The sequence below is a fragment of the Homo sapiens genome, chromosome 21 (assembly GCF_000001405.40).
Source record: "Homo sapiens chromosome 21, GRCh38.p14 Primary Assembly".
Taxonomy (NCBI): domain Eukaryota; kingdom Metazoa; phylum Chordata; class Mammalia; order Primates; family Hominidae; genus Homo; species Homo sapiens.
The window spans coordinates 33,020,823-33,044,756 of record NC_000021.9 but is presented as its reverse complement, the minus strand read 5'-3'; the positions used below and the strand labels follow the sequence as shown (position 1 = coordinate 33,044,756).

The following is a 23,934-nucleotide window of genomic DNA, read 5'->3' as shown; positions in this document are numbered from 1 at the left end:
CAGTTCCCATGTAGGAAACCAAATGAATCAAGCTCCTGGCATTTTCAGATCTACCTTTCTTGGTTCCAAAATATGTTCCAGAGGTATGTAGGCAAAATCACCATGTCCTCCTCTCCTCTCACTTCTCAAAGTTTAGGGCAAAAGTCCATTACTAATAAGAATTCTAAACAAGAAAGAGGATCATGACAGTTAAGGATTCAAATAGAAATGGATGGCTTTGTGTGGCTTTTTCCTCTTCTGCTCTCTTGTCTCAGCTCAGTGTGGATGTTAAATGGAAGTAGAGCAGGGATTTTCAACTGGGGGAGATTTTGTCCCCCAGGGGATGCTTGGCAATGTCTGGTGACATTTTCAGTTTTCCCAACTGGGGACAGGGTATCACTGGCAACTGGCAAGTAGAGGCCAGGGATACTGCTGAACATCCTACACTGCGCAGGACAGCCCCCACCACAGAGAAGTATCTGGCCCCAAATGTAACAGGACCATTATTGAGAATCCCTGAAGAAGAGTCAACAACTACCGTATTAACCCAATAATACTTTTGCAGTTGAGCTTGTGCCAAGTCTATCCTCCCTACCCAAAGAATTTCTTTATCTACAACAGATCTTGGGAAAATTAAATAACTTTCCAGAGGGTCATCAAAGACCTGGGGAAAGTTTTTCTGGACAGTAGGCATACCTTTTAAAACAAAACCTTTGAAACTCCTATCTTCAACTATTTCAGTAGGGGGAGAAATGGGGGCAACTTAATGAGAAAGTCAGTAAAGGAAACATGATGTGCTTTTCTTGGCTGCTGATAAGGTGCTAGTGCTCATGATTTAGGCTAGAGGGAAAAATGGAAAATGAGTTTTATGAAGAAGAAGGATAGAAATAAGAGTTGTGGGTGTTGGGAGTGGGTTAGAGAGGGGCAAGGGTAGTGACGTAAGCTTATCGTCACAGATGTCTACAAGCAATCGGCCAACAGTTCTAACTCTGTGATTCTTCAGAAATCGGATGATCTCAGCTGGTCCAGAATGATGGTTTTTCTTGCAAATGGAATCAATACAAATAATGTTTTGTGGTAAAAGCCATACTTCTCACTTTGAGAAAACCCTCTGCATTTTGAGCCTGGCCAGATTGTATGGGTTTTAGCAGGGGAAATCCAAGATTGATGATGCACCCGGTGAGGTCCAGAGATCCTGTGGCCTCTGCTTGTAGAGCTGCACTGTCCAATATAGTGAACAACAGCCACCTGTGGCTATTGAAGTTAAAGTTAATTAAAATTAAATAAAACTGAAAGTTCAGTTCCACAGTCATACTGGCCACATTTTGAGTGCTTGATGGCCATATGTGGCCACCATATTAGCCAGCGTAGATACAGACCATTTCCATCATCATGGAATGTTCTACCAGACAGTGCTGCCCAAGTCCACAGCCTTTCTCTTGCATGTCTGGGTCACTGCACCAGGACAGGTACTTGCCTAACAGGGCACAATGGAGCTGAGGACCATCAGCTGAGCCCCCTTTAATACTCCAGAGAATCCCTGACCTGGAAGTTTAAGAAGCAGAGGAAAATGGCTGATGGGAAAGATAGTTCTCAGGCTGAACAAGACTTTTCAAAATAAACCTTTAAAAAGCAATGAAAGGGGTGAAGGCAGAGCATGAATCAGGAAAGAAGGAAAGAGCCACAGCCTGGCTTTGTGGATAGAGTCCAAATTGTGATTTGGCAGAAATCCAAAGGTTCCAAGTCATAGTGATTCAGGCACACTGGAATTTCATAGTGATTGGTAAGAGCCCCTTCAAACGCAGCTTGATCCTGGCCATGGTCTTAGATCTTAGACTCCGGGGATGAACTGACATGTCTGTCGTCATAATTCAGCCTCTGCATCTAGCTTCCTTCATCTTGAACTTGGAGGAATTGGATTCCACTTGATTCTGTGTGCCTTATTGGATTATAGGCGTTTTTTCCTTTTCCTTCCTAACACACCAAGAATGAAGATGTGCCTTGCAAAATAAGGCTCACTTCAGTGATAGGCCATGGGGGGAGGTGGAATGAAAAAGATGCATCCCGTAATGAGCAGCTGATTCTGTGTCATGAAGCTACACAAAATATGACTGCCTGTACCCCCTTCAGGGAAGGCACAGAGGTTAGGAGGGCAGCCCCCAAAGGCTGGGCATGAACAAGGGCATCACGTCGTGTTATGATGGTCTTATTCCATGTTAGCCTACGGATGCCTGCGTCAGTGGGACTGAGAGCTTGTCTGGGCTGCCCAGTGGGCTGGGAGTCATTCAGAGACCCCTAGGCTCTGCTCGTTTCCACTGTGGGAGCCTGGGCAAGCCCCCGCCGCCACCTCCTCACCTGTGAAAGGGAAGTTGCGCACATTGCACCTGCTTCTCATTTTAAAGGAGGTAACACATGTAAAATGTAAAAGGCCCTACAGACTAGCAAGTGCTAGAAAAATGGACTATTCTTATTTAAAATTTCCCGTTTCCCCACAGCTCCTATAGAAATTCATTCCCTCTCCCTGAGAATGCAGGTTTCAGTCTGGGTTTGTGTTGTGGGTGGACTGTGAGTCAGAAGCTGTGGATGCAGAGCTCTTTGAGGGGGACCTCCCTTCCTCAGCCTGGTGTGACACAGACTACTTCTTGTCCCCAGTGTCTGCCCTCCCTTTTTAGTAAAGGTTTTAGCTAGCATGTGGCCACCCAGATGAAGCCCACATTTTCTGACCTGTGTTGCAGTTTGATGTGACCCTGTAGCTAGGTTCTGTCCCAGGGAATACAAGCAGAAGTGACGTATGCCATTCTTGGTTTGTACCTTAAAAGGAAGGAGAACTCTCCCTGCTCCATACTCCTTCCCAGAATATGGGCATGATGGCAGGCTTGGAGTAGCAAGATGGAGACTGTGTTGAGGATAGCAGAAAAATAAGAGGGAGGGAATTGGGTTGTTCATACCATGAAGCTTTCAAACCAACCCTGGGCCACCTCCCTGGACTGTAACTTTATCTAAGCTGCTGTCTTGGAACTTTCTTTGTTATGGTACCTAACCTGCATCCTCACCACTACGGCTTTGAAATGTCCTTCCCCATAGCCTACTTGCGATCCTCATGGCACCAGCCCTGTTGATCTCAAGTTCTCCCTCTTTCCTGCCTTCCCTCCTTCCCTTACAGGTAAAATTTACCTTTCCACGCTGTCAGTGCCCTACTTCATGTTATCACTAGTACTTTACAGACTAACCAGTGCCAGTGACTTGCTGTGTATTCCTTCCCAGGCAATGGGCGTTTATAGACTAACCAGTGCCAGTGACTTGCTGTGTATTCCTTCCCAGGCAATGGGCGTTTTGACAGGGCTCCCTGGAGACACTATGCTTATCCACACAGTGGCATCAACAGAAGGCATGCTGAGTGTGACAGACAGGCAGGTGGGGAGCTTCCAGCTTACTATAGACTGGACACCATTCTACATCAGTAATCCACATGCCAGCTTCCCAGTGCTCCTATATGAACACCAGGAAACTTAGACCAACTTTGAAGACCACAAGCCAGCCATACATCTGCTTATCTGTTTCAGAGAGTTGAGCATAGGGGTTGATAGTCCATACTGCTCTGTGTGCCTGGGTGCTTCTCTGTCTCTGCATGTATCTGGGGTGACTCTGGGGTGATGTCTCTGAGGTGCCACTCTCATCTCAGGGGACCTGGCTCCGAGTGAGTGAGTTCCAGTGCCCAGCTCTGGGGTCATGAGCTGGAGAAGCAGGCAGGGCTGCTTGGACAGGTTGGCCTGGCTCTGTAGGTAGAGTCCACAACTAAAGAGAGCCAGTGACCCCCACATTCCCTCCCAGGACATTGGGCCTTGAGCTGCTGGACCAGCCACACCTGCCTGAGCCTTTGCTTCAGGGTGGGATGGGAAGAGCAAACGTGATGGCTAATGTTGGTTTTCTTCTCATTTGTAGGGATACAGGGACAAACATCCCTTTGCAAACATGTTTCCAAAGGAATTTCTCTGTAGCTTCACTTTGTAGTTGTAAGAAAGCCTGGCGGATTTTTTGTTTGTTTTGGTTTGGTTTTGGTGTGGGGGGACAGGAGGGGTTGTTTTGCTTTCTCACTGATTCACTGGGATGCAGGGAAAGATTGAAGAGAAACTTGTCAGAGGGAAGGAAAGAAAAATTAGAACTATACTCAAAACACCACATCCTGGTCATAGGAGAAGACTAAATCTCCCTACCATAAAGACACATGTGTGCATATGTTCATTGCGGCACTATTCACAGTAGCGAAGACATGGAATCAACCTAAATGCCCATCAACAATGGACTGGATAGAGAAAATGTGGTACATATTCACGATGGAATATTATGCAGCCATAAAAAAGAATGAGATCATATCTTTTGCAGGAATATGGATGGAGCTGGAGGTCATTATCCTAAGCAAACTAACACAGGAACAGAAAGCCAAATACCACATGTTCTCACTTATAAGTGGGAGCTAAAAATTGAGTAAATATGAACACAAAGAAGGGAAAAACAGATACCAGGACCTACTTGAGGGTGGAGGGTGGGAGGAAAGAGAGGATAAAAAAAACTACCTATCCGGTACTATGCTTATTATCAGGGTGACAAAATAATCTGTACCTCAAACCCCCATGACATGCAATTTACCCATATGACAAACCTGCACCTGTATCCGAGTCTAAAATAAAAGTTAAAAAAATAAAAACATGAGGTGTGGCTTCTTTCTCTTAACAAAAAAAGATTAAATGTATGAATGAGGCCTGTGAGCTAACATGATAGAACAATATAGCAAGTGTCTCCCATTTTCTGACTTTCAATTGTATGAAAATACTTTTCAATTCTGTAACATGGCTCAAATAAACCCCTGATCATTATTCCCTTGCACCTTTGCCCTTGAATTGGGTAGAACAGACATGGCTGGCCTCCCCCAGGCCAGCCATCGCCTCTCCCTAGAGAAGCAGTGTTTTCATAGCGGGACAGCACTGGAAACAGGCGTTGGGCTCTGCATCCTGACCCAGGCGGGGCAGGCCGGGTGTTCTCACAGCCATCTGTTGCGGCCTGTAATGCATGAGCACATTAGCACATGGCCCGCCAGCAGCCTCAACATTGTTCTCCAGGCTGAGTTAGTTCAGCCAATCTCAACAAAGGGGACAGTTTTGCATTCAGGATAAATACAACCACTGAGGGTTTTTTTTTTTTTTTTAAGGATACTTAATGTTAAGGTTTTCACTGGCTGTCTGAATTGCAAGTTGCAACCACCTCCCACTCCCTCCAATATCATTCCCATTCTGTTAATGACATTGACATGGATGCTTTGTAGGAACTACTAAAGGAGATATTTATATGCTCCTCATTGGAAAGATTCATCCGATAGCATGTTTTAAAAATCCAAGGAGTTTGCTTCACAAAGGATTAGAACAAAGTGTCCAACCATGAATTCATTTAATGTTAAGGTCAGTCTTATGCCTCAAGCTCTGGATTTTTAGTGTGCGCAAAGACTACCCAAGGGACTTTGGGAGGCAGCTTTTGTTCACAGTGGCGAATGTTATATGTCAAGCTTTAGCAAATTTGTTGATAGTAACTGATAAATTATTTCAGAAAATCCCTTGTTTGCCCCACACCCCAGAACCAATAAAAGGCCAGCCTCCAAGATTTGGCAGGTTTTTAAAAAGCATTTTCTGGAAGGAAAATGAAGTTTGATGCTACACTTTTCACAGGATCAGATTTTTGCTTGTATTTTCTCATGTGAGAATCCTAATGAAGCTTTATGTCACTTGCATTCTAGTTACAAAACAGTTCAGTGGCAAAAATCACCTGCATGCATTCATTTCATTAGTTTAACAGATATTTATGGAGCACTTATTATGGGCTGGATACCATTGTACATCAGTGATCAATATAGACAAATATTTCTGCCCAGTGGAGCTTATATTCTAGTGTGGAAGACAGACAATAAACAACAAAATTAATCAGTAATAAATAGCATACGGGGAAAGGGAAATTGAGCAGGGCAAGGGAATTGAAAATGCCAGAGGAAAGTTGGAGTCTTAAAAGGGAAGGAGGGGCTGGGCGTGATGGCTCCCAGCACTTTGGGAGGCCGAGGCGGGTGGATCACCTCAAGTCAGGAGTTCAAGACCAGCCTGGCCAACATGGTGAAACTCCATCTCTACTAAAAATACAAAAATTAGCCAGGTGTGGTGGTGCACGCCTGTAATCCCAGCTACTTGGGAGGCTGAGGTAGGAGAATCACTTGAACCTGGGAGGCAGAGGTTGCAGTGAGCTGAGATTGTGTCATTGCACTCCAGCCTGGGTGACAAGAGCGAAACTGTCTCAAAAAAAAAAAAAAAGGAGGTGAAATTATGATCTCAGTTTACAGAGCCTCCATATTCCAAAATTCTTTTTGGAATAAAAGTTAAAAAAAAAAAACATGAGGTATGACTTCTTTCTCTTAACAAAAAAAGATTAAATATATGAGTGAGGCCCACGAGCTAACACGTTAGAACAATATAGCAAGTGCCTCCCATTTTCTGACTTTCAATTGTATGAAAATACTTTTCAATTCTGTAACATGGTTCAGACAAACCCCTCAAATTCTTTTTGGACTATGGAAGCTCGGTAAATTGTGAGCTTGGTACCTTCCCTACATAAAGTTTTTTCCCCTTTAAGTTCAAGTTCAAATGGAAAAGACAACTTGATCACCCCACTCCAATCAGGGTCCATTTCAAAGCTCTTAAATGTTGAGGACAAGCATGTTTTTAAAGCAGTTTCTCTGTATGTTTCTAACCTGCCTAAAGCAGGGGATGGGGTAATGTGGTGGCCATCAAGTTCAGATGTACCTGATGCAGCTGCTGTCACTGAGTGTTCTCCACATCCACCTGGCACATTAAACGTGTACTGGATAAAAGGCTGAGAAGATGAACTACAGGAGTAAGGATAGCAGTTTTTCCACTACACCTAGCCCCAGATTTATGTGGGATCTTCACTATGTAGTTTAGTGCCCACTTCTTAAAATGCGTCTCTTAACTATATCATAATGAGGATCTGAACAAGTTACAAGTTAGTTGGTCATTTCCTTTCCAAGTCACAACTGATGAAAGTCTGGCTGGATATTGAATAAGGGAATCACTCACAATACACTACCTACTTCAGCCAGGCATCTCGCAGAGATTCTGGCTCCCTAAGACCCAAAGGCAGAGATTTGTTCAGGCATCCTGATCTGCTGGGGGCACTGTGCAAGTTCTGGGACATTTGTTATGGGGTTCTTGACACACACCTGTGGCAGGGAGGACATGAAATACATTCTACAAGTGGCAGGGTGGACTTCAGGGTTGTAAAAAGTCACAGAGAATCGTAACTTGAAATGTCCTTTGCCAAGCTTTTCACTTTGTAGATGAGTAGATAGAGGCCCAGAAAGGTCAAGCAACTCGCTGGAGGATGCTCAACCTGGTCAGAGACGTAGATTTTTAAACTCCTGGAACAGGCCTCTTTTCACTGTGGCAGGTTGTATACCAGGACCTGAGGAGTTACTTAGAAGTGAACGAAATCACCAACAGATGAATGGATAAACCAAATGTGGCAGACACCCACAACAGAATATGATTCCACTGGAAGAAGGAATGAAGTAAGGATACATGCAACAACGTGGCTGAACCTCAAAAACATTATGCTAAGTGAAAGAAGCCAGTCACAAAAGGCCACATATTTTATGACTCCGTTTATATGAAGTATCTAGAATCAGTGAATCCATAGACACAGAAAGTAGATTGGTAGGGGTAGGGATGGGGGAGTGAGGAGGAACTGCTCAGTGGGTCCAGGTTTTACTTTGCAGCGATGAAAATGTTTTGGAATGAGACAGAGGTGGTGGCTGCACGACATTGTCAATGCCCCTGAAACTGTTCACCTTAAAATGGTTAACTTTGTGTGACATGCATTCGACCTTAATTAAAACAAACAAAAAAAAATAGTGAATGAGGTAGGAAGAGCTGACGGGTTAAACACAAAAAGGTGGGTGATGACAAGCAAATTGGCTGTGGAGGGTGGTGAAGGGAGAGGGGCAAAGAAGGCAAGCCCAGGGTGGGGCGGGGGAGTGTGGCCTCCTGGCTGTGCTGGTCTTATGGGCTGCCTGCCCCTGCTGTGGTCGCCTGCCAGCACCCGGCTGCACTAAGTCATTTCCTTCCTGTGCTGACTAAGCCACGCTGTCCTCCAGTGTCTTCATTAGCAACTGCTGCCTTTGCCTGAACAGCCCAGAGAGGTCAGAGCTGGAACTGATGGGGAGCCCCATGCCCAGCTCCCAGGAGGCCCCACCACTCTTCTTCCCGAGGCTCCCAGCTGCAATTCCAGAACAAGCAGATCCTTAGCTCTCCAGCTCACCCCTTACACTGGGCATCTGAGGGGCACAGATGGAGGGAACAGCAGGCCTGGCCCTGAGAGGGGGGACTCTCCTCAATGGGGGGATGGGGGGATGGGACCGTGAGGCTGGGGCTTGGGCTTCACAGGCAACTTTTCCTTCAATCAGTTCCTTTCTGATCCTGGCTCCCTCCTTTAAAAGGATTCAGGTCTGGGCCAGGCGCGGTGCCTCACGCCCGTAATCCCAGCACTTTGGGAGGCCAAGGTGAATGGGTCACCTGAGGTCAGGAGTTCAAAACCAACCCGGCCAACATGGTGAAACCCTGTCTCTACTAAAACTACAAAAATTAGCTGGGCGTGGTGGCGTGCACCTGTAATCCCAGTTACTTGGGAAGCTGAGGCATGAAGATGGCTTGAACCCAGGGCAGGGTTGCAGTGAACTGAGATCGTGCCACTGCACACTCCAGCCTGGGTGACAGAGTGAGACTCCATCTAAAAAAAAAAAAAAAAAAAAAAAAAAAAGACCCAGGTCTGTTTTCCATGTAGAGCATGGGCCCTCCTCGTCCACAATGCAATGCAAAGGATATTCCCAGAGAACTAACCGTGCATCATGCTCAGTACCAGGCACCCCAGGGCATGCAAAGGTGAGAACAGAGGCCTTGCCTTGCGTTGGGGGGGTTTGGGAAGTGGAACCTGTACAGAGCTCAGGGACAGTGCTGAGTTGTTCCTTGGCGCCCCGAGGCATACAGACCCCTTGTGATGCTGCAGGACAGATCATGTCACCCAGAGTAACAGAGACCATACCTTGTAGGACCTCCCAGAAGATTCAATGGGATGACACTCATGCAGTCAGGCACCTTCTTCTGCTTAATTGGATATGCGTGGTGTGCCAGGTTCTCCCTCTCAGGCCAGATGGCCTGTGAAGATGGTACTAGCATCACCCCTACTTTACAGATAAGGAAGCCAAGGCTAAGAAAGCTCATGTCTCTTGTCCAAGGTCACTCAGCTGGCAGAGCTTGGCCAAGGCAGCATACCACCCCACACCCAACTGCCTCTTCATGGTCTCCATGGTGACTGCCCCACTATGACCTACAGATTCCTGGCTGCTTGGGTTGGGGGAGCCTCAGCTGTGGGAGTCCACACCCAGCAGCAGCTGCACTCTGGGCAGGTCCTTGGGCCCAGGGCATCCATTCACTGCTGGCACCATGCAGAGGGCGACTCCTGGGATGTTTCATTTAATCCTCACAGCAGCACAGTTGTCAGGTGCTACTATTAATTACTCTATTTACATAAGAAGAGAGGATCAGGAAGGTCTCGTAACCTGGATCACTGTAGTATAGGGCTTTGGTCTGAATCCAGCTGCCTTGGATAGAATCAAAGTGCTCACCATCCTTTAGGCCTCAGTATCCCCCATCAATGAAGGATTCAGGACTTTTACACTTCCACCTTGTTCCCCACACTCTCCAAACCTCCTGACTTGCACTGTGCCACTCGTTCATTCGTTCATTCATTTTTTTGTGAGTCCTTATATCTAGCAGGTACCCTGAAGGTACAAGGATGTCCAAACCACAGTTTCCACCCTAGGGAAGCCCCACAACCAAGGACAACTCCTTTCTAGAACTGTCTAAACTCCGCTTCAGCAGAGGCCAGTGAATTCTCTTAGTGCACGGAGGACACACGGAGGAGGGCTGTTCTCACCCATCACAGCCTCCCTGCCAGCAGGGGCTCCCAGGACCTCTGCTCTGAGGTGGACCAGGACACCCAGAGGGCTCGGGTATTGGGGCAGAGCCTGATTGGCCCACGGAGCTTCCAAGATCACCCATTATGGCTCTATTCTACAGTTGAAACATGTTCAGAGTTTCAAAGAGGCCACTCCAGCCCTGTTCTGAAAAACAAGCTTCTACTGCCAAATCTGAGGATGAAGGAGAGAGAATTGCTCGTGGTCCTGTTTGGACTGCACTGCACCTGTGGCCCTTGCTCTGGGCTCCAGAACTTTTGCCTAGAAAGCAGAGGTGTCTGAGAGCCGGGCTGGTCTGGGAGGGAGGCAGAGGAAAAGGTGAGGCCAGGCATACAAAGCTTAAAAGATCCCCAGCTCTCAGGTCAGCCAGGGTAGGGATGGTAAACCAGGATGCTTGCGGTCCAAGGACACCGGGTCACAGGGCCTCCAGGACTCAGCAGGGCTCAGTAGGGCTCAGGAGGGCCGGAGGGAGGCGGTCCAGAGAGGCCGCTGCTTTGCAGTTCTAGGCCCTTGCGTGTGCAAGCACCGGTGTGCGTGGATCTGTGAGCGCGAACTCAGGTGCGTGAGTCCCCTGTGCGAGAGCCTGTGCACGTGGACTCAGGTGTTTGGAGCTGATGTGCAAAAGCCCGTAGCGGGTCTGTGATTTTGGGCTCGGGTGCATGGACCTGGGTGCTCCTTGGGAGGCTGTTTGGGCCCCATGCGCATGTAGGCGGTTCTGGAGAGCTCTGCGTGTCTCCTTCTTGGGGGACCTCCAACCGTTCCCACAACCAGTGGACGGATTGTGGCCGCACCGACGCTGCAATGTCGCCAAAGGAAAACTGCGCGCGTCCAAGCCAGCTGCTTCAATCCTGGCGGATGCGGGCCGTGCCGGGGTCTCCAGCCGGTGGGGTGGGCCTGCGCGTCTCCCGTTAGCCTGTGCGGGGTCGGGGAAGCGAGGGCCGGAGAGGACACCAGCGCGCAGTTCAGAGCGGGTTCCTTAAGCAGTCTTCCCCCAGAGCTGCAACGTGGCTGCCCGAGGACCCCAAATAAAGACGCGGCCTCCTCACCCAGAGCCCTGCCAGATCGTCCTGGTGGACCGCGCCCGCTTTCAGGGTTTGCAAACTGAAGGCCCGCTCGCGTGTCTGCAGGGCCCTCGGTGTGCTGTAAAGGAGGGTCTGAGGTCCCCCTGGCAGGAGAGCGCGCACTCGCAGCAGCCGCGGGACTGGCGCAGGTATCATCCTGGTTCCTGCAGGCCTTTCAGTTGGCGACCCTTTTCCTAGTGACTGCCCGAGGTGTGGAAGGCACAACGGGGCAGGGGATGTGGCCCGGGATTCCGGCTGCGGCCCTAGGCCGGCAGGAGCGGCAGCTGTCTTGGCACTAACGACGGTCCCTCGCGGGGCGTGCGGGCCGCCCTAATGAGGCTCCGCCGCGGCTCACCTGCTCCGGCCCTTCCTCCGCCCGCGCCGCGCGCCCACCCGCGCCCGCTAATTGCTAAAGCCTGTGAGCCCCGCCCGCCGCCCAGATGGGGGAGTCGGGGACAGATGGGGTCCAGGCATGGGGGGAAGCACTAGGAGCGCCACCTAAGGGGGCCGGGGTGGGGGACAGGGGGTGGCAGCAGAGGATTCCCGGGGCGGCAGCTGAGCCAGAGTCTGGGGACTGCTGGAGTGCGGGCCAGGTGGCCTCTTGGGGTGGGCCCTGGATTACAACAACCTTGCCACCTTCATTTACTGGCTGTGTCCCCTGAGCAAGTCACTTAGCCTTTCTGTGACTCAGTTTCCTTACTTGTAAGACGGGACAATAATAGCACCCTCCTCAAATGGTTGTAGTGAGAATGGAATGAACTGAGGCTCTTAAAGCTCTCTGTGCCCCGCCTTACCCCGGCTAAACCTCAGTCAACGCTATCCGCCTCCTCTCCTAGCCTCCACCTATTAATATCCTGAGTTCCCTGGAGATTCAGCCCGGCCCTGACTCCCTCCTCCCAGCTTTGCCTCTTCAGTTCCTCGCTGCAGTCCTCCACCTCCAACCTCTTCCACAGACAAACAGCCAGTAGCAATCACTGGGGCCCTAGAGGAGAGATACGGAGTAAGGATGTAGCTGTGGGTGATCCCCATCTCTGCCCTGCCTAGAATGGCCTCCTCACTTACAGGGAGTTGGGGCTTAGCCCTGGGATATAGCCCATGAGCTGCTGGCTGCCTCCAAACCAGGGAGTGGCCATGCTCACCCATGCTGTCCCACGTCCCTCTCCCTAGTCAGGATGGGACTGAATACAGCAACCACTGCTGTGAATAACCTGGCTTTATCCTGGCTTCCCTTACAGTTTTGCGGAGACTAAATAAATGGTCACTCTTGGTGTGGGGCCCTTGTCAAAGACCCTATAACCCCTGCTGGTACTATGGGGGCACTTGTGTGGGGAAGGGGGATACTAGGCACAAAATCTGTAATGCAAGAGTGACTTAAAATGACATGGCAGGTGAAGGGGGACTCCTTTGCCACCTCCTGATGAACTTTTAGGAAGCATCAAGGTGAATACTCAATAGAAGTCCAGACAGATTGCTAGGTAGATTCGGCCCCAATAGGAGACAGACATTTTCCACCACTGGGGTAGTTTTATCCATAAGAGCATCTAGGGGGCTTTAAAATTCAATGCCCTGGCCCAGGGGCTCCTCACTGATCCCAGTCTGGGAATGAGAAGGGCAGGTCCCTGGTGGATGGCTGTCAGAACCCCAAATCACCACGGGTGTCTTTAGTACCCATGTCTTCCTGCGGTCACATTAAAACTCCTGGCCTCACTGGGAGTGTGACACCTCTGTGGGTTCACTTCACTCGTCTGCTCACTGCCTGTCCCCAAGGTGCAGAATTCCAACTCCATGGGCATTAGGGGTTAGTCCTTCAACACTGAGTCCAGGGGAGTGTCATTTCTCTGTGGCTCCTGCCCATATGAGAGAGTGAGGAGCCCAGGGACAATGCCCTGGGGTGCTGAGGCCAGAGGAGGAGGCTCGGGTTCTGCCCACTGGCCCCTCAACCTCTGGTCAGCTGAGCTCCCAAGTTCTTTTTTTATTTTTTCTCTTTTTTTTTAGTCAGAGTCTCACTCTTGTTGCTCAGGCTGGAGTGCAAAGTACAATGGCACTATCTCAGCTTATTGCAACCTCCGCCTCCTGGGTACAAGCACTTCTCCTGCCTCAGCCTGCCAAGTAGCTGGGATCACAGGCATGTGCCACCACATCTGGCTAATTTTGTATGTTTAATAGAGACGGAGTTTCTGCATTTTGATCAGGCTGGTCTCTAACTCCCAACCTCAGGTGGTCTGCCCACCTCGGCCTCCCACAGTGCTGGGATTACAGGCTTGAGCCACTGCGCCCCGGCCAGCTCCCAGGTTCTTAAGGAGGGTTGGGGAGTCTCAAAGACCTGGGGCATGGTGAGTTTCTAAACTCGGAGGCTGACAGCTGGGGTGCTGCAGAGCCACGCAGTGGGGCTGGGGAGGAGGCTGAGCTGCAGTCCAGCCTGTTGAGAATCTCCCAACGAATGCTCCCCAGAGGGGACTGCAGTGTGGCAGGGAAGACTGCAGCAGATCCCGGAAACAGTTACCTCTTTCCCTTCCCTACTTGGTGAGGAGCCCACTGCCAATGAAGAGCCCACCAAAGTCAAAGTGGTTGCACACAGTCTTCTCCTGCCCTACATCAAAGCCCAGCCACTGGCTGAGTCCTCTACCTTGGCCCCCACCAGTCCAGGGCCACCCTCGGCGAGTAGCCACCTGTTCTAGGGGATGTGCACTGTGTGCCAGTGTCTTCCTCCTCCACGTCCAGAGCTGCTCCAGTCTCACCCACCGTGGTCAAGGCCTCCAGCTGGGTGCACAGTTTAGGCGGCTGGCATGGAGGAGGGCCCAAAGCCTGGCTGGACACAGCCCCTCCTTCTTCAGAGGCCCTGGTCTTGCCTGGCCTGGCTGGTGGCTGGTTGCTACTGAAAGCTTGGGTGCAGGGGTGGAGGGAAAGACTTGATTTATTGCCTTTCAACAACCGTCCTTCTATGCAGACACCAAGCACACTCAGAGCCTGCACCAGTACACCTGCCTGGCAGTGGGTGTGGAAGAGCCAAAACTGCAATCAAGACCCCTACCCCCACCGGCCAGGTTCTCAGCGCCCACTGGTCTACGTTCCAGCCTCCTGGAGTCCCTCTGAGTGTGTCTGTGGCTGCAGCTGGACCCAGTTTTGAATTCTTTTCAAGTTTCATTTCAAATGGGATTTCAGAATAAAAACGACTACACCCTGCCCTTCCTTCTTCTTGGATTCACATGGCGCTGTTGGGGTGGTGGGGGCAGGAGGCTTTCCACCCGTCTTCAGCCCCCAGCTGCTCAGCCTCTCCAAATCCCTCCCAGCCTTTGCAAAAAGCCAGGCCCATCGGTGAAAAACTAGGCCTCCAGCACCCAATCCCTGGGCCACTGCTGTTCTGGCCAGCAGTCCGACATTCCCTGCTGGAGGAGCAGGAAGTGCCTGTCCCTTGCTAGGGGACGGAGCAGTCTTTAAGTCTAAGCAAAGGGTGCCTGCCTGTGTGAGCCAGGCTCAGCTATGCGACTCAAGAAATGGGGTTCTGACTGGGGAAATCTTCTGCACCCCCAGTTCCAGGGTGGCCAGTGGCCACCAAAAATATTGTCAGAGAGAGGACCCTGGACCAGGGGATGTTCTTACGGTGCCCGTACCCGCTGTCTTTTCAGGGGCTCATTCTCAGGCCAGCCCTGGGGCACGGAGACTACAACAGGATCTGCCCTGGTCCTTGACCAGGAAGGCCAAAGTATTTTTATTTCCACCCAGAATCTCTCTTCACAGCCACATCCTAAATTTGCATCGCGGGTTTGGATTGTGAGAACCCAATGGCCAAGAGGAGACAGAGGTGACCCCAGGAAAGAGCACAGAGGCCAAAGCGCTGCCAGTGCTCCTCCAGAGGTGCGGAGCACCTGATCCTTTGCAGCTCAAGGCGGGGGTGGCCGCTGGGGGAGGGTAGTGGAGATGGCTGAAAAGGAATGGAAGGGTTAGTAGATTCTGCACCAAGCACTCCCCAAGCGCTTTGCTGGGAACGCTACGGCTCCGCAGAATCCAGGTCCGCAGCTGAAGCCAAGGAAACCCGCAGGGGGAAGGTGGTGACGGGAGACCGCCTCTGAGCAGAAAGGAAATAAAAATCTAAAAATCGAGCAGTAGAGGACTCCTGAGAGCCCAGACCCCCAGCCAAAGGCGCAGCCCTCACCCTGCAAGTCCCAAAGTCCGATGCTCCGGGAAGGAAATGTCTGCTTATAAAGGAGCTCAATACTCAACTGAAGAGAAAGGCAGTTCCGGGTTAGGCGTCAGAAAATAAAAATAAGGACAAGCAAGTTGTGAAAAAGACCCGGAGGATTTGCCCGGAACATGTTTGAAAGATAATGCATGTGTGTCTCTAGTGCCAAACTGGGGGAACGATCCCCAAATCCGGTCCCAAGGTATCGCGTCCTGAACCCCTTTTCGGGGTGGCACACGGATGGAAATCCCCCGACTTTACTTTAAATTTTATTTAAAATCTCAACACTCAGTCATTTATTCCGTTTTTGCAACCAAACAAGTAATAAATATTATTTAGCACTTTGTTTTTACAAAAATAAAACAGATGATACACTCTCTGCGAGGGGCGGTGCGATCAGAGGAAGGGTGTTACACGGCAGACGCTACAAAGCCCAGTTTGCAACGCAGGCAGCGCCGAGGCGGCTTGCACGGAACGCAGGAAGCACGTGGAGGAGTTTACCATTTGTGTTAAACGTGGCAAAAATAAACCAAAATAGAGGAAAGCCGGCTTAGACTCCGATGGGGCTGGCAGTCACGTGAGCAAACAGCTTAGCATTGCGCACTTACCTCATCATTGATAAATTTACACATCCAAAAAAGAAAATTTTAAAAAGCCAACAGAACCCCCAAATAACCCAAACTGTTTCCACAGCAACTGCCTTTTAATTCTGTTACGTTCTCAGGTACCAAAATAACCAAATCACTTTGTGCTTAGAGAAGGAAAGATGAGTCGGTGGGGTAGTTTCTATTTTAAAATAATAACTACAATGCACCCGCCCCTGAAATCGGCAGTTTTGGGTTATTCCAATCCACAAGTGGTTCTACTCTGAATGTCTATAAACTTGCTCATACTGTTGAAGAAGGAACATCCACAGATTTATTAGAAAACCATATTCTCCCAAATCAACGAGAGACAGGGAGGAACGGCCACAGTTCTAAGAGGGTGTGGATTGACCCAGATATTGAGATTGGATATGACCATCAGCGCTTCTGATACCGAACGCCGGCTTCCAACTAACTTGTGGCCCCTGGCCTTGGGCCAGGGACGACCCTGGAGGGCGCGGTCGGGCTGTTGCTTCTGCAGTGCGGCTACCCGGAGTCTCCCACCCGCCAAGAAAGGAGGAAGAGGAGCAAGGCCCCAATGTGTCCCCCTCCCATAACACCCCCTCCCCCCCCGAAGTGCTGCCCAAGCCGAGTCTGCAAGTCAGGCCACGCTCTCAGGGAAAGAAGTTTTTAGAATCTTTTCCCGGAGGTGGGGGTCGGGGGTCGGATGAGTTCTAGTGAGGAATGCACACAGCGGTACCTTTTCATAAAACGATGTCTACTGGACCAGCTCAGGTTAAAGCCAGACAGCGCTCGATCAGGTCCCGGAGAGAACATCCCCTCACTCCCCACTGCTCTGTGGGCGCCCCCATTGCTTGGGTTCGCAGATGCTGGAATCCCCACCATGCCCCACCCCCAGTCCATGGTCCTGCGCCCCTCCTCGCGACAGAGCTCCCGAGCCCAGCGCAGGCCAGTCCTCGCTTCCCCGCGGCCCCTGGCTCCCCTGTCGCCAGAACGCGCCGGCGCCAGTCGGCTCACTTGGCGTCGGAGGTGAGGCGCGGCAGGCTGCCGGCGCCCATAGCCGACACGTGGTGGTGCGGCGGCGGCACCTGGCACATGCTGCAGGGGCAGGGCATGCCGCCCCAGTGCTGGAAGCCCCCGCTCGCCCCACTGCCGCCGCCCCCGCCCCCCAGCGGGGCGGCCGCGGCAGCAGACGGAGACTTGAGTAGGCCGTGCGGTGGACGGATGGAGCCGACCGACGGCAGCCCGGATCCGGGCAGAGAGGCGCTGGACACAGCCGCGGCTGCAGCGGCGGCAGCAGCCGCTGCGGCGGCGGGCGGCAGGATGGGGTGGTGCACCGCGGGGTGATGTGCGGCGTGCGCTGCTGCTGCCGGGTGCGCGGTGGCGGCGGGCAGGGGCGCGGAGTGCGCCAGGCCGCCGCAGGCCGACGGGTGGAAGCCAGCGTGGTGGCCCCCGTAGATCTCGCTCACCAGTCGCTTCATCTCCTCCAGCGAGTTGGTGAGCATGAGGATGTAGTTGCGCGCCAGCAGCAGCGTGGCGATCTTGGAAAGCTTGCGCACCGAAGGGCCGTGTGCGTACGGCATGACCTCGCGGAGGCCATCCATGGCGATGTTGAGGTCGTGCATGCGCTTGCGCTCGCGGCTGTTGATCTTGAGACGCAGCTGCTGCAGCTCCGGCTCTGTCATTTGCTTCTTGTCCTTCTTGGTGGACGACGCAGCCGCCGACGACGTAGACGACGAGGTGCTGGACGAGGATGACTTGAAGCCACTGCCTCCTAGCTTGTCCCCAGGATGCGCGCCCGCAGAGCCCATAGCGCCGCGCAGCTCGGCGCTCAGCTCCGGCGGGCAGTCACTCGGGGTGGACGAGGACACGGTGCCCCCAGTGAAGGCGCTGCCGCTGCTGCCCTTACTCCGGGCCGGCAGAAAAAGGTCATCGGGCTCTGGCGACGACGGGCGGCTGGACACCAGGCTGGCGTCCGAGTCCATGGCCCCAGGGGAAGATAGTCGTCGCAGCTTTCGCAGGGTCCTCCTTCCCTCGGACCCGAAAACTTCCAGGAGAGGAGGAGAAAAGAGAGAGAATGAGAGAGAGAGAGAGGGAGAGAGAGAGAGAGTGAGTCAGTGAGAGACAGAAAAGCTGCTCCCGCCTGCACCGCAGTACCACAGCGCGGGGTCCCGGCACAGGTGGCCCGTGGCTCCTCGTCCCCCTCGCTACTATCTCTGGCCCTCCTTTTAGCTGCACGCGGGTACCTATAATTAAGCTCTCTCTATCTCCCCTCTGCTCTCATGCAACAGGTTATTTCAGGGAGCGTTGGTGACCCTCGGGGTGCGGGTGGCATTCTAGAGGCTTCGGGCTTTCAGTTAGGTGTGGGAAAACTGAGCCCCCGGGCTGGAATAAACGAGTGGGAAGTGAGGGCCTTTCTTTGGGGAGAATGGAGATCTAGATAGAGAACTAATGATTTGGTTCCTCAAACGGATCCACCTTATCTCCATCGACACCACGCAGCAAACACACGCACACGCACATGCACCCAGAGCCGGCGCGGGGCCCAGAGTCCATGTGCTGCATCTGGAGACCACGGGGAGCTCACCAGCTGACTGGGGCTTGGGCAGAAAGAGCTGTTGTCGCTCCGACTTCTCGCTTTTGGTGAGGGAGATGCAGCGGTGAGTGTGGGGAGGACAGAAGAGCAAAGTCGCTCTGGAGAAATGGCCCGCAGAGTAGGGATCCAGACCCCCTGTATCGGAGCATTCTGGGTCACAGCCGAGTTGAGGAGAGTCTGTCCCTGGGATCTAGGCTGCGGCTGCTGTGGGGCGGGGACACTTACTCTGGATGCGATTTGAGGAGCTCGCTCCGAAAAGCCTCAGGGGAGAACCTGGCACCGGGCGCTGGTGTCGCGTCGATCTATAATAAGCATCCGCACCTTTAGGGGCTCGGCCGGTTTTTATAGCCCGGTGGCAGCGGCGACGGCGGCAGCGGTGGCGGGGGCGGGGGCGGGGAACAATGTGCGTGTCCTGGAGGGGCTGCCTCGCCAATGAGCTGGGCCCGCCGGGGGGCTGGGAAGCTGATGTCATCCGGGCTAATTCCGCTCAATGAAACTCGCCAGGCCGGGCACACGCCTCCTCCCTGCGCACAACCAATGGGCGCCCGTGGCCGGGAGATTCTTGGGGAGGGACTGGAGGAGGGACCCGAGGAGGCGAGGGGGAGGAGAAGGGCGGCTCAAGGGGGATGGAGGGAGGGCTGAGCGCGCTTGGGACCAAGGGAGAAAGGGAACGTGGTCAAATTTCTGTAAAAAATACGGCCACCACAGAGTCAGGTTGGGGGATGGGATGGTTTGGAGACTCTGCAGAGTCTAACAAACTAACCTGATGCCCCACGCAGCCGCACCTTTTGGGATGCGCGCGGAAAACCCTGGCGACCCAGGATCCGGGGCTGGGGTCTCCTCCCTAGCTCTTCCTCTGTCTGGTTTCCCGCCGCCTGTTCCCATCTCACTGGTTTCATCAACACGTGGGCATTTGGCGCCCCAAATGTAAACGATGCCCAGGCACAAAGTCCCCACTATCTTGGTGCTCTACTCGCGCGTCTAGGAGATGGCCGTGGCTGCAGCTCCGACGGCAGCCGGTAGCGCCCCCAGCTGGGGGCAGGGACTTGAGGGGTAGAGGGCGGGCAAGGAGGGAGGGGACGGACTCCAGAAGAGTGTTTTGAAAGAATTCACAACTCTCCTTTAGGTTGAGGATGGTGTGGGTACAGGGACGAGTTATTTCCGCACGGTAACCGCGCTAGCACAAGGGCAGGGTCGTGCCTGTAGTTAAACACCCCTCCATTTATTAGCAGGGGAGCCGGATGATAGTAAGTATTTTCAGTGTCGTCTTTGTGATCACCACACGCCTTGGGGCAGGGGCAACGCTGGCATCTGTAGTCCAAGCAGGGCTCCGCTGTAAAAGGTTAGCAAAGAGCCTTCCGTCCCAGTCGCCTGCTTTCTGGAACTGCAAAGAGAAGTTTCAGGCCTGGGCAAGGCTTCTCCACGCTGTGGGCCAGACAGCGAGATGGAACCACTCGCGACCGCGTTGGGACATGTTTTACCGATTGCAGGCTGGCTCTGAAACCTGAAAACTCTTGACGATGAGGAATTAAGCCCGAACTGGAGAAGCACCTCACGGAGGTAGCTGAGGTACGGATGCATTCACCCATTTTACAGATGGGAAAAGCCAGAGACCGTGTGCAGCAAGCCTACAGAAAAAATTGCTAAGCCTTTACAGAGCAGCCCTGCTTGGACTACAGATGCTGGCGTTGGCGGTTCCTTATAGTACAGGCAGCCACCTGTCTCCCCCAGTCCCTAATCTCTTCCCCGAGCTGAATTTCTCACACCCATACATTTCGAATTCAGACATTTGTTTCTGCAGATCTCGGATGCTAGCACTTGACACTGTGAGCGCACGCGCGGGCACACACGCACACAGTCTCCTAGGGAGTGTGAGGAACGTCGGGTTACTTCCGTTGTTGGGGAACTTTTACTGTGCAAGTACGGTTTTAAAAACAAGCAAACAAATTAGCATAGTAAATAATTGGTCTTCAAGTAGCAAAGTTACAAAATAAACAAATACAAAGAGAAACCCACGTTATTGCCCCTAGTTCTGAGATATGTCTCCCTCTGCGGTCTCCGCTAGAAGCCCAGCCCGCTCTCGCCTTCGCCCCAGTCTCGTGCCTTCTGGAGCATTATTTTTCAATCCGCGTGTTTCCCAGCTGGCTCTGCAGCCATCCGTTAAATATGTATTTAAAACATGAAGAACTGAAGCGTGGTGTTATGTCGTCCAACGGTTACAAGGATGACCCATAACCGTTCAATTAGTAGAATCTGTCACTCGGACGACGCAGGGAGCGGGGGGGTGGGGATCAGAAAGGGCTCGGGCATTTGTAGATGCCTCCTTCGGGCCTACCCCGCCAACAGCAGCGAGGCCATGTGTGGTGCGCGCTGTGGGGCCACCAGTCGGGGCGCGGAGTTGTGCGCCTGCCAGTGTAGCTAATAAACACCAGCAGGCGCAACGTGCGCGCTCCTTGGTTGCAGCCGCTGAGGTTAGTCCAGCCGCCGGCACGTGTCCCGGAACCCGGTTTCTTTTTTTGTTGCTGCCCACTGGTGTCTGTCCTGCGACCGACTTGCGGCGGTGAGAGCAAGCGGTCTCAGGTTCTTTGCGCGCTCGGTCCAGTGGCTGGAGTTGGGAGTCAGGGGTGAAAGTCGAGGGGCCCGTCTTGGCATGGCGCGAGTCTAGAGCCTGGAAGGCAAAGTCGGAAGCTCTGTGCTGCTGCTGGCCCCTTCTTCACCTGGCAGGCTTCCCTCAACATCCTCCCGTCGCCGGAGTAGCTTGGGAGGTCGGGGAGGTCTGTGTCGCCCCTGGGCTCCCTTGGCCCTGGTGCCAATCGGATGCTGAGTACCTCTCGGTGTGTCTCCTATGCCTCCCCACCCCGTCCCAGGAATAACTAGAAATTAGATCCCGGTGCCCAAGCTTGCCCTGGTGCGTCCTGGAGGCGTCCCCAGGACTTGTCCGGGTCCTGCGCCCGGCGCCCGGGGTGGGCGACCTGGGCGGGTCCCAGGCACTGCGGTTCCCACCAGCGCGCGCAGCTGGGGCCCCTTCCTGGGGAATGGAGTGCTCATTTGCAGAGGCTAATGGGCCCCGGCTCCGGGAGTTCCTGGTTGGCCCCCGCGTCCTGGTGCTGTTGGCCTCCTCCGTGTTTTTCCCTCTTCTTTGTGTTTCTCTCCCACAAAAGACCGGGTGCGTGTCGGGGCCGGCCTTTGTTGGACCGCCGGGCGGCCCGGGAGGAGCCCGTGCCAAACCGGCGGGCTCTCGCGGGGCTCCAGGGCGCAGACCTCCCACTGCTTCCCGGGTCCCTCCCGGGCCTTCTTTCTGATTCTCTCCCTTCCCTTCTCCGAGTTCCTGCTCACATTCAGGCTGCGTCTCGGCCTGGCTGCCAAACAGAACGACGTTCTTGCGCAGAGCTGACCAGGGGTGGCGGCGGGAGGCAAGGCTCCCGGCACCGGAAAGCAAAGCAAAGAAAAAGGCATTGCAGCCATCGCTCCTGGTCGTGAATGACAGCGTTTGGCTACCAAACATGTGCTACATGACCCCTCAGAAGTCAGAACTCTGCAAACAAATGGCGTGTCTTTCTCACAAAACAGCTCATGGAGTCGTCCAGGGTCAGCACGGCTGGTCAGAACCGCGGCTCCCGGGACTGGTCCAGGACAGTTCACGCCGGGTGCGGAGGACAGGCCCTGGCACTTGGCAGGTGCTTGGTAAATACTGCCGAATGCACACACGTGCAGATGTGCATGCGGACTGATGTGAAACATGGTCCGTAAAATACATGTAAATGTGGGCAAAGGTGTGTTATGTGTTTTTTCGCTGTATATAATAAACTGTGAGAGCTGTAATCTGGATCTTGGGGTATATGGGCACCTTTACAATGATTGGGGTGTTGACTTCCACCTAATGACAACTGTGACCACTTGAAGGCAACCTAAATTGTGCCAGGAGTTTCAGGTGTCTTGACAGACATAGTTTAATTTAGTCTCTCACCGGCCATAGGAGGAAGGTATGACTCCCATTTTACAGACAGGAAAACTGACTCTCAGAGAGCTGTGGGCATTTGCCCAAGATCCTGCCAGCAGAGTGCCTGGAGGTGCAGGGAGGTAGGGAGTGTGGGCTCAGAGACTCAGAGATCTCCAGTTGTCCTTTCTCCATCTCAGGTTCTCATCCGTAAAATGGGTTTCTTGAAGCTACCTGTGGCTTCCAAGGTGTCTGCTGGATTTGGAGGGTGTGTAAGAATCACATGACGCCCTCCCCTTGTAATTTTTGTCTTCTGCTAACAATCTGAGTGACTGTGAGGCCGTGTGAATCCAGGATCCCCTTAGCTGGCCTGGCTTAAGCTCAGGCACCAGCAGAGGTTGGGCTCTAGGAGCATTCCAGAGGAAGGCCTGGAGCTTGCAGGAAGGGGTGCTGCCCCAGGGAAATGAAAGGACAACAAACAAAAATGCAACCTAACGAAGCCCAAACCAGCAACTGCCCCTCCCAGTCAACCCTTCTGTCAAGATCCTGCTCCCATCCTGGAAAGCTGGGCTGACAGCCACCTGGCTATCCTTGAAGTGCCCTTGAAGTTAAGCTGCCCCCCACCTTTGCAGTGAGACGATATTGGGATAGGACTGAGGGGGACACAATGAACTTTCATTGAGCTCAGCTTGCAAACAGCTATCTCAGCCAATCTTGACAGCAGCCCCTTTAGGGCTAGGAGGAAGGCAGGTTGTTCCCATTTTACAGATGAAGATACTGAAAATTGAGGTCAAGGCAGGGGTGGGCTTCAGTATCCAGCCCACCGGATCACAATTGCCTGAGGCTTCTAGGGCTTCATCCTACACCTCCCTTCCCCACACCCCCACCCCAGGAGATGCTAGACACACGCTGGCATTGACAGAGCGGTCCACCCCACTGGAAGCCACCCCCTTCGACAAGTTGTGATTAATCCTGAGAGCAGAGGATCAGGGTAAACAGGTCAGGGGTGTCTGTCTGTCTAGCTGGCAAGACCGTTTGGTTATAATGTGAACTGGGAAACCCGACTGGGCCGGGGGTTACCGGATGGGGCCCAGTGTTTCCCTGGGCCCGGAGTAGTTGCACACGTGGAGGGCATGGAACCCCTCACCGCAGGGTATGGAGTGGGATTTCCCATCACCTCCCTGGGAGCACTGGGCGGACCACCTGGTTTACTATATGGGGGGTGGGGGTGGGGGATGGTGTTTTCTTTAGAGATCTGGCCACTGTGCACATAATAAGTAGCAATATGTCTCCCTGTCGCCTGTCAGGATCAAGTCCAAGCCCTCTAACCCGGCCTACGGGGTCCCAACCTGGCCCCTGCGGGCTTTTCCTCTACCCCTCCCACACTGGGTGGGCCAGCGCTTTCCCCATCCTCCCCCCCCCACCCACCCGCCTCCAGCTCCCCCATCCCACACGCCGTTCCTCCCGTCCATCTGAGCATCTTGTCCAAGCC

General features: G+C 52.9%; 1 protein-coding gene across 2 annotated transcripts, besides 6 other annotated features; it reads right to left on the bottom strand.

Annotated features, from left to right (window-relative positions):
* Positions 1,560-2,759: an enhancer, noted in NCBI's record as "CDK7 strongly-dependent group 2 enhancer chr21:34414306-34415505 (GRCh37/hg19 assembly coordinates)". NCBI's record gives its function as "activates an origin of replication core promoter dependent on BRD2, BRD4, P300/CBP, MED14 and CDK7 cofactors, with strong dependence on CDK7, by STARR-seq in HCT116 cells {active_cell/tissue: HCT116}" and the evidence as "EXISTENCE:reporter gene assay evidence [ECO:0000049][PMID:35650434]".
* Positions 7,686-8,238: an enhancer, noted in NCBI's record as "H3K4me1 hESC enhancer chr21:34408827-34409379 (GRCh37/hg19 assembly coordinates)". NCBI's record gives its function as "activates a minimal SCP1, AML or CMV promoter by ChIP-STARR-seq in naive H9 embryonic stem cells {active_cell/tissue: H9 hESC(naive)}" and the evidence as "EXISTENCE:reporter gene assay evidence [ECO:0000049][PMID:30033119]".
* Positions 8,239-8,792: an enhancer, noted in NCBI's record as "H3K4me1 hESC enhancer chr21:34408273-34408826 (GRCh37/hg19 assembly coordinates)". NCBI's record gives its function as "activates a minimal SCP1, AML or CMV promoter by ChIP-STARR-seq in naive H9 embryonic stem cells {active_cell/tissue: H9 hESC(naive)}" and the evidence as "EXISTENCE:reporter gene assay evidence [ECO:0000049][PMID:30033119]".
* Positions 10,391-11,058: an enhancer, noted in NCBI's record as "H3K27ac-H3K4me1 hESC enhancer chr21:34406007-34406674 (GRCh37/hg19 assembly coordinates)". NCBI's record gives its function as "activates a minimal SCP1, AML or CMV promoter by ChIP-STARR-seq in primed H9 embryonic stem cells {active_cell/tissue: H9 hESC(primed)}" and the evidence as "EXISTENCE:reporter gene assay evidence [ECO:0000049][PMID:30033119]".
* Positions 11,059-11,727: an enhancer, noted in NCBI's record as "H3K27ac-H3K4me1 hESC enhancer chr21:34405338-34406006 (GRCh37/hg19 assembly coordinates)". NCBI's record gives its function as "activates a minimal SCP1, AML or CMV promoter by ChIP-STARR-seq in naive H9 embryonic stem cells {active_cell/tissue: H9 hESC(naive)}" and the evidence as "EXISTENCE:reporter gene assay evidence [ECO:0000049][PMID:30033119]".
* OLIG2 (oligodendrocyte transcription factor 2) lies at positions 15,572-18,822 on the bottom strand. Of its 2 annotated transcripts, none has more exons than NM_005806.4 (2): positions 18,731-18,822; positions 15,572-17,956 (listed from the first exon to the last, which is right to left on the bottom strand). In NM_005806.4, exon 2 carries the CDS (start codon positions 17,892-17,894, stop codon positions 16,923-16,925), a length of 972 nt encoding a protein of 323 aa, NP_005797.1. In that variant the 5' UTR covers positions 17,895-17,956; positions 18,731-18,822; the 3' UTR covers positions 15,572-16,922. The 2 variants fall into 2 exon arrangements, with proteins under 2 accessions (NP_005797.1, XP_005260965.1); XM_005260908.2 differs by lacking the exon at positions 18,731-18,822 and adding an exon at positions 18,497-18,721.
* Positions 18,091-18,993: an enhancer, noted in NCBI's record as "H3K27ac-H3K4me1 hESC enhancer chr21:34398072-34398974 (GRCh37/hg19 assembly coordinates)". NCBI's record gives its function as "activates a minimal SCP1, AML or CMV promoter by ChIP-STARR-seq in naive H9 embryonic stem cells {active_cell/tissue: H9 hESC(naive)}" and the evidence as "EXISTENCE:reporter gene assay evidence [ECO:0000049][PMID:30033119]".

Bases quoted from the DNA above. Each gene is read 5' to 3' on its own strand.
- OLIG2 (NM_005806.4), bottom strand. From the start codon at position 17,894: ATGGACTCGGACGCCAGCCTGGTGTCCAGCCGCCCGTCGTCGCCAGAG.